Source organism: Homo sapiens, chromosome 4, assembly GCF_000001405.40.
Source record: "Homo sapiens chromosome 4, GRCh38.p14 Primary Assembly".
Taxonomy (NCBI): Eukaryota; Metazoa; Chordata; class Mammalia; order Primates; family Hominidae; genus Homo; species Homo sapiens.
This window is the reverse complement of record NC_000004.12, coordinates 124,619,702-124,637,190: the sequence shown is the minus strand read 5'-3', so window position 1 is coordinate 124,637,190 and position 17,489 is coordinate 124,619,702. Positions and strand designations below refer to the sequence as shown.

The 17,489-nt window shown below is 35.9% G+C and overlaps 1 annotated feature.

Annotated features, from left to right (window-relative positions):
* Positions 5,178-5,257: a silencer, noted in NCBI's record as "silent region_15668". NCBI's record gives its function as "represses an Ori minimal core promoter by ATAC-STARR-seq in GM12878 lymphoblastoid cells {active_cell/tissue: GM12878}" and the evidence as "EXISTENCE:reporter gene assay evidence [ECO:0000049][PMID:35858748]".

The following is a 17,489-nucleotide window of genomic DNA, read 5'->3' as shown; positions in this document are numbered from 1 at the left end:
GGGGATTTGGAGAGACAATCAGCAGGAGTTGGTACCCTTGCTGATCCCAGGCAAGAGGAAAGTTAACCCTGTAATAGCTTTGGGGGATTGAGCCATCTGGTTTTACAGTTCATTACCCTTTCACTCTCAGGAGCAACACATTCTGTGAGGAGTTGCTCTTTGCCTGCTGAGTAGTTTAGAATGGAATCTAACAGTGGGATTAAATTCATTCTGCTGCCCTGCAGGTTTCCATCCTCAGGGTGCCCTCAATTTGAAGAATAGTAACATCAGCTCAGGAGTTGGGGAAATGAGAACAGCAGGCAGAACACATGGGCGTAAAGCAATCAAGGGATGTGTTTGTAAAGAAATAGCCTGTTTAGGATGAAGCCAATAGGCAAAGCCAGAAACAGAGCCAGCCCCTGCAAACACAGCCACAGTGGATGGTCAAAAGACAGGCAGCACTGTGAACTGACCAGAGTGCAAGAAATGCCTTTCCTGGAGAATCTATGAATTTTGGTAAAGGCAATTTAGAGATTTTATTTTTTTCTTTTTTTTTTTGAAGGAGAAATAGCTTGTAAATTATAGATCCTCCTCTCTGCCCTCGTCCTCTTCAGCCTAGGGATCTGTGAAGAGGATACAGTTTACCAGAAGTTTAGATTCCAGACATTGTCCTAAGATCAGTATATACAATTATTTTGCATTTAAAATGTACATTTTATAAAATAAGTTTTATTACCTATATTTTATGAATTAAGAAAATAATTTTAGAGAGGTTAAATAACTTAGTCATTGTCAACAAAGTAAGTAAAAAGACAGAGCCAAGATTTTTTTATTTGTCATTATTGAATGCTAAGTTGAAGGAAAAGCTGAAGAATCAGGTGACAATTTAGGCATCTATGGATGAGTCCAGTAAACTGAGATTGCAAAATGTAGGGAACAAAATAATAAAATATAAAGGGTGACAATATTGCCTGTGAATTCATACAATCAATAAGGAAACTGTTACACAGTTGTTTTGTACCTTACATATAAAAAAGAATAGGCACAACTTAAATTTATAATTATTTAGTTATAATGAATGATTTGTGATAGGAAAAATTTAAGGGTGACAATCCTCAGAAAATTAAAAAAATTAAAATATATGTGATTTTGATGAAAAAGGTCTACCCATAGGGAGGATTTAGAATGAAATGACCTCTTAATTCTTATGTCTTAATTGTTGCCTTTTAATTACGAGATAGGGAAAAGTTATCAAAACTGAAGATACATCAGTGGATGTAAAAAAAAAAAAAAAAAAAAAAGGACCAGATGATCAGGGTGACCTGAGTTTCTTCTTGTTTTCTGAGCATTTTAGGCAGAGAGCTTAAATAGTCAGATAAACCTCCAGGAGGATTTTTCAACAGTTTCAGAAAATGAGATTCTGGCATGTTGTTGATAGGGTTTTGAATGTGTGGGGAGTGGAAGAGTTGCCACGGGGTTTGGTTATCTTTGAAAATGTATTAGTCTGTTCTCACACGGCTATAAAGAAATACCTGAGTCTGAGTAATTTATAAAGAAAAGGGGTTTAATTGGCTTATCATTTGGCAGGCTGTGCAGGAAGCATAGCTGGGGAGGCCTCAGGAAACTTACAATTATATGACGGAAGGCGAAGGGGAAGCAGGCTGTCTTCACATGGTACTACACGCTTTTAGATAACCAGATCTCATGAGAACTCACTCACTATCAGGAGAACAGCAAGAGGGAAATCCACCCCCATGATCTAATCACCTCCCACCAGGCCCCTTCTCCAACACTGCAGATTACAATTCAACAAGAGATTTGGGCAAGGACAGAAATCCAAATCATATCAGAATATCAGGAAAGATATAAGATGAAAATATGATAAGCTATTATGTATAAACAGATTTTGGAGTAAGGCTTTGATACAAATTCAATATCCTTACAGAAAAAAAAGCAATCTAAACAAAACGCTGACTACCAAACCAATCCACAACTGAAGGCGTTTTCATTCATTAAAACCACAACAATAAACTGTGTTCATACCTTTTCACAGGGATCCATCAATTAGCAAAGATAAATAAGGTTTAGTTAGCTGTCTTTCAGTGAATCTTGAGGATTAATGGTGCTGTGCTTTCTATTAGTATGAAACATAAATTCCATTCACTAAGAATTCAAATGCTAAGCTGGAAAATCTCCCACACCTACATGTGTGGTTTATTCCTGGCAAATTATCTTTGCATCATTGTTAATTTTTGCAGTACATGTACAAGAGCAAAACAAAGAAAAATTTAATTTCATAGGTTTCTGTAGGGGCCATTCTTTCGTAATTAAACTTTGGAGACATTTTTTAAAAAATAGCATGTGATGTATTAGAAAGATCACTGAGTTAGCACCCAGGAGACCTAGAAAGTAATCTACACTTTGCTGTTCTTCGTTCCACATTCCTTCCTGGCTACTGTTCTATTCATCTGTAAAAGAGAAATAATGATTCCTATTCTTCCAGCCGTTCATATGATTATGTGAAATATCTTCCCAAGCGTAAAATGAGAGATGCTATATCTAGATTTTAAATACTGGTGATTGTTAATACTGGAAAATTGATTGAAAATTATTTCTAGATTTTAATAAAATAAAAATGTTCAAAAGTAAATTTGAATAGTCATAAATTCCAGCATCTTCTCAATACCCAGGAGACATGAAATCTCAAACATTTACAAAGAAGAAAACAAGAAGGCTACAATGAGGAGAGAAAACTTAAAAATTATATTCAAATATTAAAAGTGAATATAATTGATTAATGATGGTATTTGATAATCTGTATCTTGTTCAGATTTGCCTCCCTATGACACTGGACTATGGCAATATGGTTTTGTGTTTCCAGAGTTCTATTTTTGTTCTATAATTCAGTATTTTATTGGCCTTTTGGAGAACTACAATTCATCATTTGGATTCCTACAGTTTACCTGTCACCGCTATATTTTCTTCCAGGTTAAGCTTGAGGTCCAAGCCCACTCTTCATACGACACAATGCACCACAAACATTTTCAAAACCCTAATTTTAATGTGCCTGAAAAAGGCCAATGTTCCCTGAAGAAAATAAGTCGGAATAGTAACAGTCAAGATCTTTAAACCTACTCTTTTTTTCCAAAATAGCCATGCATCTCCTTTACTATGGGACAGTATATGTTTTCATTGGTAACTGACACATGTGTTTCGAGAACATGTATTCCCCCAAAAGAAGGTTCCAGTATCATTTCTCATTCATGAATAGAAGAGTGACATGAAAGTTTAATTTCTAGAACCATAAAGCTTTGTTTCTAATCCCCCAAACATGCTTTTTCATGTCCATATGTTTCTCTTTAAAGTAAATACATTGCAGAGAAGTAAGAGAGAAAAGTACAGTAAAGGGAGAAACATGCATTTCGCCTAGAGCAATTTAATTCATCTAAACAAAGGCTGAGCTCCAAGCAAATGTAGCTTTGGAGATCAGAAGATAGCAGCTGCTGGCAAACAAGCAGGTTTTGGTAATTCACACTTGGGAGGGCCTGCTATGGCGGCTCAAGAGACCCCCTTGCTTTTGCCAATGGTTATTGAGCAATCAAAACATTTAGAATTCTCATGGATATTTGCCTAAAGCAGGTATGACCACACTGAGGTGTAAAGTAATGATTAGTTCATGACTAGAGGTGTTTCCCTGGTTTTTTTCTCAGTCTGTTTTGGATTATCCTTAATGGGAGCAAAGAACACAAAGGGTTTTCTAACATGTACAGAGCTGTATTTCTCACGGAATATTTGAGTATCTCCTTACATCAGAATCAGGTCATGGGCTGGGCAGTCAGGTTATGGTCTGTAAAATGAGCTCCTGAAAGTACCTGATTGTAGATTTATTACAAACTCCACATTCTAGTTTACTTTTGTATATTACTTATTTACAGAACTCTGCTGTACTCTGTTCTGCCACTCATAGATATGTGTTCACCCTAAAATTAATAATGAAGCCAAAATGGCTCTTGTGCCCAAACCCACTGCAATCCTATAGTGCTGAAAGCACCACATTAAGACTGCTCTCTTATCTTTATCCTTAATGCCCCAAGCTAATCTGAATATAAGTTCTTTTTGTTGGAGACTCTAAATTCAAATCAACTCTGCAGGGCCTGGAAGAAGAGGAGAGACAGGCCCATTTATACAGAATCTAAAATAAACTTGCTTTTTGGCTGAGAGAACAGGTTGATATGGTAGATCCTTCATCAGAATATGTGAGTACATATAGGTATTAAACATTTTAAGCTGGATGATACAGGTCCAGTTTAGTTAAAAATATCTCTGGAAAAAAATGTTATTCAGTCTTGAAATAACTTTGAAACCCTGCCTCCTACGAAGCATTTCTGTAGGACAACAGTAATGTATTTGCTTCAGATGGTTTCAGTAAAGCCTCATCAAAAGGTCATGCTAACCAGCCAAAGAGAAGCAAAGGCCCCACCAGGCCAGATCTAAGATCGCATAAAAGGAGGGTTATTCAATGGCCGAAGGAAATAAATATATTAATAATGAGTCTTCCGTTTGCACATGACAGAAATCCATTCAAATTATTCCCAAGACAGGGGACTTTATGGAAAGGCTGGATTGCCTAACCATAGAACAACAGAATGCAGCTTAGCCTGAGGGGCAGCTGAGGCCGGGAACTGGACATCCTCCTGACTGTCTCTCTTTTGTTCTCTCTAGATGTAAGGTTATTGTTTTATTGAAGAGCAGCTTCTTTCATAGGTTAGGGTCTTCAAATCTCATAATATTACCACTACAGAGGGATTTTCAGTCTTTTCAGTCTTCAAAGGGGAGTATCTAGATTGGCCCACCCTTGAATAAGTCAACTCTATCAAGGCAGGTAAAGTGTTATTGTCAGTTCCTGTTAGAACTTCAAGGTCTTAGGGGAAGAGGAGAACAGCATCCTAATGCAAAAGGGGTGCAGTTCCCAGGAAAAGGGTAAAACAAAACTGGAGGAAGTCAATACACCTTAGAATGGGAGAGATAAATGATTAGTTGTGCTTGAATTGAGAAACCTTGGCAAGGGAAACTGAGGGCAGAGGAGGATTTGGACTAATTTTTCTGGTAAATGGAGAAGGATAAGGCAGTATCTTGTTCAAGTGACTGTGACAAAAGCCTAGGAAATTATCAGGCTGATGAGATAAAGAGCAACATAGAGATTACTCTGCAGAAAGAGTTAAGGCCAATGAGCCATTCAAGCCTTGAGACTGTGATGACTCATGACTTCCTTCAGCTTCTGCTGGTCTTCAAAGAAACACAGCCTCAGGGTTAGTGGGGCCCTCTGCCAAGTTTCAAAAGTATTCCAGACTATAGTATCACTACTTTCTGCCTACTCACCTCTGTAAGCCATTCCCGGCTGAGGAAGTCAGAATTCCCTCATTTCCTCAACTCTAGGACAGGCTTTACTCTCAGCAAATTTAATTGAAAGAAAAATGCACTATTCTTTTTCTTTTCTCTTTTTAACCCATTAGGCCTTAAGACAAACAAAAGGCAAAGCAAAACAAAATTTTTTGAGTACTATTTTGCAAATTACTTCTATTCTGATATGGAACTTTATGAACCCTGACTTTTTTTTTTTAAAGAATTTATTCTGTCTTTTGTTTAGAAAATTCAGTGAATATATTTAGACCTAAATGTCTATTCAGGTCCTTTGTCTAGAGACAGATATTTTGTCTCTAATTATCATTCTGTCTTCATGTCTCTAATTTTTATTCTGTGACAATATATCAAAGAAGTCTTTTAATTTTTTTGAACTCCAGTTCTTTCAAGCATTTAGTAGAGCCAACACCTGCTCTTTATGCTCTTCTTAGGACACTTAGGTAATACAATAAAACAATACCATAAAAAAACGAACAAAACCCTTCTGTGTATCTCCTTAGAAGAAAAATAAGTTATTTCAGGATTTTTAAAAGAAATTCATTTAGGATTCCTTTTTAGCATTCCTTTTGTCAAAATACCTGTCTCTAGACAAAGAATCTGAGTCGACAGTTCTCCAAAGATTATATACAACTGGCCAACAAATACATAAAAAGATGCTCAACATTGCTAATCATTAGGGAAATGCAAATCAAAACCACAATGAAGTATCACCTCACACCTATTAGAACGGCTACCACCAAACAAAAGAAAACAAAACAAGACAATCAGAAAAAAACAGAAAATAAATGTTGGCAAGGATATGGAGAAATTGGAACCCTTGTGCATTTTTGGTAGGAATGTAAGACGGTACAGCTGCTATGGAAAACAGTATGGCAGTTTCTCAGAAGATTAAAACTAGAATTACCATATGATTAACAATTTTACTTCTGGATATATATCCAAAAGAATTGAAAGCAGGATCTCAAAGAGATATTTGCACACCCAAATTCATATCAGGACTATTTACAATAGCTAAAAGTGGAATCAATCAAGTGTCTATTGATGGATGAATGGATACATAAAATGTGGTGAATACAAACAAGAGAATATTATTCAGACTTAAAAAAGAAGAAAATTCTGATACACGCTACAACATGGATGAACCTTGAGGGCAATACGCTAAGTGAAATAAGCTAGTCACAAAAAGACAAAAACTTTACAATTTCATTTATATGCGGTATCTAGAATAGTTAGATTCATAGAAATAGAAAGTAAAATTGGTGTTTGACAGGGACTGGGAGAAGAGAATGGGGAGTTTTTGTTTAGTGGGTACAGAGTTTAGGTTCTACAGGATAAAAGCTTCCTGAGATTAGTTGCACAACAATGTGCATATACTTAACACTACTGGACTGTATATTTAGAAATCCTTAATATGGTAAATTTTATGTTCTGTGTTTTTAACTACCATAAAAATAATTTTTAAAAATAGCTCTAGAGATAGATTTATAGTTTTTTCATATTCCTTGGACTATAAATATTATTAGAATGTGTTGTTCTAAAAATATTTTGATTATTTAAGTAGTAATGTTTCTATTATTAGTTGATTTGACATAAAACAGATTTTTAAATTTCTTGTAATTTATACTAATTTATGCTGTATAATGTTTTCATCTAAAAATTACATTTAGGCAATTGTAGCTAACTTTATTACATTAACTTTTAAAAAACTATAGTGTTTATAAACACTACTAATTTCAAAATTGAATCTTTCCCTACATAATTCAGCTTTTAGAACATAAAAAATATGCATTTTAAACAGTGTTTAAATCAATCATAATTAATTACATTTCCAAATACATCTACTAAGCTGGGCCTTACAATTACAGAGCTAATTATGTTGAAAATGAAATTCCACTATCCCCCAGGCTTGCTCAGTTACTTCTGTGCTCTAATTTAGATACCCAGGGGTTTATTTGCTGCTAGGCAACACCTGATAAAAATAAGTATATGCATGAACAATTATATACCTATGAAGACATGCAAAAATAGTTTTATGTGAGAAAAAATATTATCTGCTTAACGTTTTGAATATTTTCTTGATTTTTATGTGTTTTTAGTACAACCAGGCAATATAGCCCTTGCCACAAATATAGACTGCAAAAGATCCTGGGTTTTCAAAAACTGAGGTTACAGTCAACCTTTAATGTATACTGAGGCACAAATTTCTCTATATCGAGGCATGAGAGATGTCAGCTAAGTAGGTGTCATTTTGTAGGTTGATAAGTTAAGACATTCTGTTAGAATTATTAACATAGTATGGCAGAATATTAGTATCTTAAGAGGTGGTCAACTACTAATCCTTCTAGAGAGGTGAAGTTTAATACTGGGTGTGGTACAGAACAACCGGGAGCTGGCTTCATGTCTCTAATTTTTATTCTGTGATAACATATCAGAGAAGTCCTTTAACTTTTTCGAATTCCAGTTCTTTCAAGCATTTATTTAGTAGAGCCAACACCTGCTTTTTATGCTCCTCCTAGGACACTTAGTTAATACAATAAAACAATACAATAACAAAAGAAACAAAACCCTTCTGTGTCTCTCCTTAGAAGAAAAAGAAGTTATTTCAGAATGTTTAAAAGAAATTCATTTAGGATTTCTTTTTTAAAAAACATTAGCACTAAGGTAGTGATCTACTATACAGAAGCAGCACTTTCAATGCAGTGGAAGAAATTGTTTCTTTTATGGTGTATTTCTGTAAGATCCAGGCTGTTAAAAAGTTCCAGACAGAAATAACACTTTATCACACTTGGTTAAACTGAATTTTTGTACTTTGGTTTCTGAAAATCAAAACCTCTCATGATTGTATTTAAACATCTTTAATAAAAGTGGGCTTACATGAAGTAAAGCAGTATGAAGAAATATGATAAAAACAAAATGTGTGTGCATATAATCTCTAAAGAGATTAGAGATGAAGTTAAGATCAGAGTCGTCTTTTTATTAAATATAAAACCATAGAATCAAACAATAATTGAATTTCTGTAATAAATGTTTCATATATCAAAGCATTATAACTTTTGGTGCTCAAATGTCTTCTACTTCTGGCATGTTCTATTATGGAATTATTAATTTGAAACAGGCAGATAATCTTGAATGTCATACTTTAGAAAAATACAAATATGGCCAGGCATGGTGTCTCATTCCTGTAATCCCAGCAGTTTGGGAGGCCGAGGTGGGCAGATCACTCAGGGTCAGGAGTTCAAGACTAGCCTGGCCAGCAGGGTGAAACTCTGTTTGTACTAAAAATGCTAAAAATAGCTGGGTGTGGTGGTGGGCATCTGTAATCCCAGCTACTTGGGAGGCTGAGGCAGGAGAATTGCTTGAACTTGGGAGGCGGAGGTTGCACTGAGTTGAGATCCCACCACTGCACTCCAGCCTGGACAACAGAGTGAGACTCCATCTCAGAAAAAAAGAAAAAAAAAACAAATATTAGGTCAATAAAATAATCTGTATTTTAAAATTTCTTTGGAATTATAACCAATTTGATCAAAAGATATAGATATTGAAAATATGTCAATATATTATATTATAAATGTTAGATAAACCATTCATTATTTAGTCTTCTAATACAACTGAAAATGCTCAGTTACAATTTCATTGATTTACTCACATTCATTGATTATTTCTCCTCTCAATACTGGGAAGGCTGGAATGATCTTTTGTTAGCATATACTAGCAATTCGATTATTTGTAAAACTAGTTCTTTTTTAATTATGTAGGTTTGTATATGGAAAGTAAATTTTCAGACCCAAGTGTGTTGGTGACAGAAATGTCACTTACTTGGATGTTTATGGATTTCTTGTTAAAAACCGTGTGGACAATCTTTTATTTTATTTATTTATTTTTTTTATTTTTCCTCTCTTTAAATTGATTCTGATGAACCCAGTTCTATTTTCTTTACCTCTGAAGTGTCTTGCTAGGTATATGGAGAAGATAAGAGGAACAATGGAACCCAAACTCTTCACTGGTCATCATGGGTCCAGTTCTGCTATAAGTTATTATCTATGACAGCAGGATGAGAAATAAAGAGCAAGGTGTAGTAAAGGACACAAGAGTCTAGTCACAGAGGAAGAACCGAAAGATAAATACTTTTGTGTTAATTATTTCACTTCCTGGTGACTGGCTTATTGTAACCAATGCTTCATTCTTCATCCCCCACCACCTTACTCCCTAGAACTGAGGAAGATCTGATGTTCCCTATGCCCAATTAATAGTTTTATTTTAAAAATGTCATCAAAGTAGACATATGTTCAATAAAAGTTGGTTACAATATTCTGAGAAATTACAAAGAGTGAGTCTTCACATCGTGGCAGAACCAGGATGATTTAAAGGCTTACTTACTAATTCACCACAATTTATTAAAGCTGCCAAGTGAATATCTGGGTCAGTTCACTTAGGCACCCTGCTAACTAGAAACGTAGTAGAAAGTTCATAAATGAGGAGAGTTTTGAATAGCTTTGCTATAGTGCAAAGAGATTTAGCCCTTGAAGGACAAGTAATATACTTTATATTTGGAAAACATATCTCATTTAATTGATATCTATAAGATATAAATATAATTCATCTGACATATATTTATTGAGCATCTAACATACCCACAACACCATTACACATGTTGTTATATGTACCATTTGCTATATAAGAAAATATGATTTATGGTTTATAATTTAATGTGATATACACACACATATACTGTATTCTGTAATTAAGTAAAAATACATGACTACAAAACAATAACATATCATCTCTTATGGTTCTATAGTTTGCCTGGACTCAGTGGGGCAGTTCTCTCTTAGGGCCTCTCATACCATCTAACAATTTCATAGGAAGATGCTCAAGATGAATGTTTTGCTCACATGTCTGGAGCCTCAGTCCTCCTTGGCCTCTTGGTCAGTCTTCATGATGTTTTGTCCTCCATGTCTTCCCCATGTAGCTAGGACTATCACAGAATGATAGTCTCACTTCTTGTGGCAGCTAGCTTCTAAAGAGCAAGAATCAGAAGCTACCATGTCAGTAAAGGACTGCCCCCAAAACTGGAATTGTGTCACTTCTATGATATTCTATTAGTTAAAATAAGTTCAGGATTTAAGAAGTACACAGACATACACTCTACCACTTGATAAGTATGTGGAAAAGTTGCATTACAGAAAAATGTGTAGGATGGAAATTATGGTTTAGGAAATATAATGTGACACAAATTTAAAGTAAAAATGTTAACAGGTAAATATGAGATTCAATTCTAACATACATAAGCATGCTGTTTGGGGGAAAAGGGGTTGATGAAAGTTTGAGAAGAGCTCTGGTAAAAATGTGAGCAGAAATGGATTTTATCTATTGGTTATAACACAAGAGGAAATCAGGACAAAGAGAGTCAAGAATGAGTTACAGGCTAATCGAAATACTCTGAGAAAAGTCAGAAAATAAGAATAGGAAAGGAGGGTAAAAATCAGGAATCTTGAGCGACAGTACTTTATGGTACTTACTAAAGTAGTGAAGGATGAAATGTACTTAAAAGCCAAAGACGGAACCTATTTCACTAGCTTCTAATGTGGCTAAAACTGGAAGATGGGCTGTAAAATAAAATTTTTTACTCAAAGAAAGACCTAGAATGGCTTATTGTTTTTAATGCAGCATTTGGAAAGGGATGGTCAAATGATTTAATCCTCTCTCAGTTCGAAATGTATTTCTGCTGCATATAGTTTTTATTTTTGTCATAACTCTTCCAGTTTAGCCTCAAAACTCTAAGGTCCAACAAATAGATTTTTCTTTATTTCTCTCCAACTGGTATTTCTAACATGAACTCTAATTTCACTTGGTGACTGTCCCTCTACCCACCCCAAAAATACTCGCTCCCCTTTCTCTGGGATTGTCTCTGTTTCAAGGAGCTTACAGAGTGCCAAGTAGTTAAGAATGGCTTCTGTCTTGGGTGGCCACTCTTCATCTCCTGCAGCAGCCTTCTGTGTTGCAGCCTTTTCTGGCCTTTGTGTTTTGACCCATGCTGATTGCTGTTATGACATTTTAAAATCTTGACTGCAAGGCTCCATGGGTCATGTTATGACCCAGTTAATGCCTGGGCCTTTCTTCCATGCACAAGTATCACTTTATTATTCTTGTCCATCCTGAGACTACAGAAACCCAATGGGGCCTTGTCTTAGTCTATTTTGTTTTGCTGTAAAAGAATACTTGATGCTGAGTAATTTATAAAGAACAGAGGTTTATTCTACTCATGGTTCTACAGGCTGTACAAGAAGCATGGAGGTGGCATCTGCTCAGCTTCTGGTGAGGGCCTCAACTGCATCCTCTCATGGTGGAAAGCAAAGGAGAGTCAGCATAAGCAGAGGTCACATGGCAAGAGAGGAGGCAAGAGAAGAAGCAAGAGAGAAAGTGGGGAGGTGTCAGGCTCTTTTTTAACAATCACCTTTTATGAGAACTGATAGAGTGAGAATTCACTTGACCCCAAAGGAAGACACTAATCTATTCAGGAAGATTTCACCCTCATGACCCATACACTTCCCACTAGGCCTCTGATCCCAACAATGCCACACTGGAGAATAAATTTTAGCATGAAATTTCGCAGGGGCAAACATCCAAACCACAGCAAGCTTCATGTAGCTCAGCTCTTTACCTCTTCCTATTTACTCAGGAAAGGGGGAATTATCTATTCCTGGTATAAGAAAGTTCTATTTTGAAGCCATTGCTACCTTGAGGAGCTTTCCCTTTCTTCATCTCTATTAGGAAAAATGAGGCAAGTGTTCTCTCTATTCTTGTTTTCCACAACAGATCGAGAGTCCTTCTGTCATCTTCCTTCAAGACTTCTCTCAGCAGAGTGTGGATGCCCCATCCCAATAGCTTACAATATCTATTTACTCATAGATTTTCTTCCCACTGTCTTCTCCCATCTTTTGGGGTTGCTTTTTATCTTGGGATGAGAGAAGAGAAGGGAGGAGGGGACAGAAGCAGAAAAATTTCACTTGAGTCATAAAATATCTGTGCCTTGAGTTTCTTTGTGGGCTACATTTTCCTAATAAGAAATAGGGGCTTTTGATCCTCAAAAGATTGTTTTCTGTTTCTGTGAGTACATTTTTTTTCTAGGAGTCAATGGATGCTGCATGATTTAGCTGCCTGCTATGGTTTGAATGTTCCCTTCAAAATTTGTATAGAAATTTAATTGCCATTGTAACAGTGTTGAGTGATGGGACCTTTACAAGGTGATTAGATTATGAGAGTTCCACCTTCATGTATAGATTAATGTCCTTATTATAGAAGTAGGTTAGTTATCATGGAAGTGGGCTCATAATAAAAAGATGATTATGGCCTGATTTCCTCTTTCTGTCTCATATGCTTGTTTCTGCTTTCTGCCCTTCCCCCATGTGATGGTCCTTGTCAGATGCTGGTATAATGCTCTTGGACTTCTCAGCCTCACGAACTGTGAGAGATAATTTCTTTGCTTTGTAAATTATCAAGTCTGTAGTATTCTGATACAGCAGCAGAAAACAAACTAAGATAGAAAATTGATATTGGGAGGTATTTGTTTCTATAACAAATATCTAAAAATGTGGAATGGCTTTGGAACTGGGTAATGGCTAGAAGCTGGAAGAATTTAGAGGAGCAGGCTAAAAAAAAAAAAAGCCAGATTGCTGTGAATGGAACATTAAGGGTGATTCTGATGAGGGCTCAGAAGAGAGCTGTATAAAAAATCTGAATCTTCTTAGAGATTGCTTAAATGATTGTGACCAGAATGTTAGTAGAAATATGAACAGAAAAGGTCATGCTGATGAAGTCTTAGACAGAAATGAGGAATAAGGTTTTGGAAACTAGAGTAAAGGTCATTCTTGTTATAAAGTGGCAAAGACCTTAGTAGAACTGCTTCAATGCCTGAGGGCTTTAAGGAATACAGAACTCAAGAGCAATGAATTAGGATATATGGCAGAAGTAATATCTAAGCAACAAAGCATTCAGGCTGATTTCTGGATACCTTCAACTGTATTCAGTGATATGGAGATAAAAGGAATGACTTAAAGGAAGAATTTATCATTAGAAGGGAAGTAGAATAAAAAGATTTGGAAAATTCACAGCCTGGCCACATAAGCAGTAAAAAGGTACATTAGGGAGAGAATACCAAGGGTGCAGCAAAGTGCCCCATTGCTAAAGATATTAATATGGATAGAAGACAGCCAGATCCTCTTCATCAGAACAATGAGAGAAATACCCTTAAAGGCATCTCAGAGGTCTTCAAGACTGCCCCTCCCATCGCAGCTCAGAGCACTAGAAAGGCACAATGATTTGGGGAGATAGGCCAGGGTACCCTACACAGGCTCACTTCCCAGTGCTGCCTTAAGTCTCTGTTCCCCACATTTCCACTCAGTGTCTTTTGGCTATGCCATCCATGGCTCAAGTGGACTCAGGTGTGGCTTGATCCACTGCTCTGGAAGGTATAAGTGATGAGCCTTGCCAGCATCTGTGTGGTGCTAATTCTGCAGGCATACAGAATGCAAGAGCTGTGGGGACATGGCTATCTCCATCTAGATTTCAAAGGATGTTAGGAATTGCCTGGGGGTCTGAGCAGAAACTTGCCACAGGGATGGAGCCACTGCAGAGAGCTACCACTAGGGCAGTGCCTGGTAGGGCCATGGAAGCTGGGCTACCCGTAAGAACCCAGAACTATAGAAGATACCAGCTTACAATGCTAGCCTGGAGAAGTTGCTGGCAGGGGACTCCAACCAATGAGAGGTGCTGGGTGGACTAAACCCAGCAAAGCCATAGGGGTAGGGCTGCCCGAGACCTTGGGGACCCAACCCTAGCCCCACTGTGCCCAGGATGTGAGAGATGAAGTAAAAAAGATTATTCTTCAGCTTTAATACCTAATGCTGTTTTTCCTGTTGGGTTTTAGACTTTCTTGGGAACAGTTACCCCTTTATTCTTATCTGTTTTTCCATTTTGGAATGAGAATGTCTTTCCTATACCTGTTCCACCATTGTGTTTGGAAGTAAATTACTTGTTTTAATTTCACAGGCTCACAGCTGGAGGAATTTGCCTCAAGATGAATTATGCCTTGAGTCTCATCCATATTTGAATTACATAAGAATATGGACTTTAGAGTTGATGCTTAAATTAATTAAGATTTTGGAGGCTATTGGTATAGATAAAAAGTATTCTGTAAATGAGAAGGCATAAATTTGAGGGAGTCAGGGGCATAATGCTATGGTTTAAATGTCTCCTCCAAAGTACATATTGAAATTTAATTGCCATTGTAACAGTGTTAGAGGTGGGACCTTTAATGATTAGATAATGAGGGATCTGCCTTTGTGAATATATTAATGCATTATTGTGGGAAATGGTTAATTATCATGGGAGTGGACTCTTGATAAAAGGATAAGTTCAGCCTGATTTCCTCTCCCTGTCTCATGTGCTGGCTTTTGCCATCTGCCCTTCTATCATGGGATGACTCTTGCCAAACGTCAGACCCCTACTCTTGGACTTCCCAGCCTCCAGAAGTGTGAGAAATAAATTTCTTTTCTTTATAAATTACCCAGTCTGTGGTATTCTGTTATAGTGGCAGAAACGTCCTCAGACATTGCCCTAATGTCAAAGGGTCGCAGGGTAACATAAAATATAGAAAATGACCAGTTAGCTAAACTTCAAAATATTATTTCACAACAACACTGAATTCTGCAACCCAATGGAAAGCCAGCTTTATGTTAATATGACAAGAGGGGAAAATACTAGGTTGGGTCATAGGAAATTGCTGATAGTTGACCATTTTTCACTAGAAGAGCAGAAGAAGATTTCAATACAGAAGTGTGGTTTCTAATGCACTTTTTCACATGATGTGGTCCAAGTAACTGTGCTTCAGAATTACATATGACAGGTGTAGTTGTGGGGGATAAGGAGAATAACAAGGTTACAAAATTGGCACTAATTTCAACCATTTTCCAAACTTTTTAACCAGTAACTCTAGAGGTGAGGTGCATCAATTTGATTTGATAACCAGCATATCAGATGATTAATTATTCAGCATATCAGATGATTGGTTATATATATCAGCCTATGCTTGTGTGTTTTCTATCTTTCAATGATGGTAATGAATAATCAATCTGAATCAGCAGCAAATGAGAAAATATATTTTATTCAGAAAGTCATCATTCTCTCTCATTAGCCTCAGCCACTGCGGGCTTATGACACTTTATCACATATGCTAACAAAAACTTAAACTATATTTTTACATCATTTTGTGATGAGTGATTTGTTTTACTTGCAAAGCGGGGGAAGTATTCCTCCTTAGTAAGGGATATTTACACTGAAGAAATACACAGTGGGATCAAGTAAAGAGAAACTCAAAGCTGTAATCACTGTTTGTATAAATAAATAGAAATGTGTCTACATTTAGCAAATAAAGGCAAAAAAATGGAAAATGTAAGTTGTAATTATGTAAAATAATACTAGGATTGGAATTCCTGTTCCTAAAGCTGAAATTATTTTATAGGGACAAAGAGAAAGATATACATAACTACTTATAAAAATATTTGAGTTTTTATTAAGTGTCATCTGATAAATTAGACTTTTACAAAGTGGGTATGCTAACCCAACTTTTTATATTAAAATTTTAATAATATAGAAACAAAGCTAATGAAAAATTTCATGCACTTAACTGCTAATTATGAGTTGTACATTGGGGAAAAAATTTACTTGAATTTAATTATAGGAAAGAAGAAAAACCAATACATTACTTGGAACAGCAAACCAAGGTGCTGTGTAAGCTAGCCATGTATCAGCAAACAAAATGCTGAAGAAACTGGAACTTACAATTAAAATAATGTTGGCAAAAGAAAATTGTCATTTTTTTCGTGGATTGGTTATTTAACCACTGACTTTAAAGTCTGTGGCCTCAAAAGAAAGAAGATGACTGAGTTTATGTGTACCGTTTCAAGAGTTTTTGTTTCAGCATGGTGAAATTCTGATTAAATTTAATCCATACGACTGGAACATTGAATTAACTATGTTTTTCCTCAAAAAGCTGAAAAAATGAAGGAGCACACAAAAAAATAGGCTTATGTCAAGATTTTATTTTACAAAATTCTACCAAAATTTCTAGAAGCACAGTTTGGTGTCAGTACCTATTCAATAGGAAAAGAATAAAACAAGCCTCAAAAACAATGTTTCCATTCCACTATTCTCTTTATTATATGATGCTTATATCTATCCTCTAATTATTGATCCTAGGCTATGTTAAATCCTCATTAAAAAGAATCTGTTATTTTCAATATATTCTACTTCCTAAGGCAACAAAGTAGGCCAATGCGTTCTTCATTGTAAAAATAGAAACACATAGAGAACGCCAAGAATTCTTTTCTTTGCAGTTAATCAGAATGCTGAAGTAATCTAGAACAATCAATTTATTGAACTTTTTGATTGATTAAGTTTAAAGTTTAATAGCTGAGACAACTTATTGAAAACTCACAGGAAGGTACCAAGAAGAAGAATGAATGATGACTCTGAAAATGGCACCTTCTAAACTGGAGCCAGTGACCTCTCTCTCCAAACACCCTGAGGGGAAATTGAAGTCACCCATATGTATTCCTGCTCAATCCAAGCTTTAGGATGGAAAAGAAATAAGGGGTGCAAGAATAAGAAAATAAATAGAAGGAAGGATGATTAAAAGAAAATGAACAAATTAGATAAGAAAGTGAAGAAATGTTCCCAGAAATTGCCTTGGGTCACATTCAGTGGTATCTCTCTACTGATGGGTGCATACACATATTACAAAAATTACTACTTCATGTAAGAGGTTGTGATTTCAGTGATGTCTATAATATTTATCTTTATGATATAGTGACTTCTCAGACCAGGTATTTTATTGAATCATTTAATATACCCGCATTTATGTTATAAACATACTAGGAAATAAATCTGTTGTTTTCATGGTGCCTACTACACAGTGATGTACCAATGGTTATATTAACTGACAGAGGATGGGAAACTAACAGAATTTTAAACATAGCTTATGCTGTGAGCTACTAAAATAATGTTAAATAATACAGCTCTCTCCTTTCTGT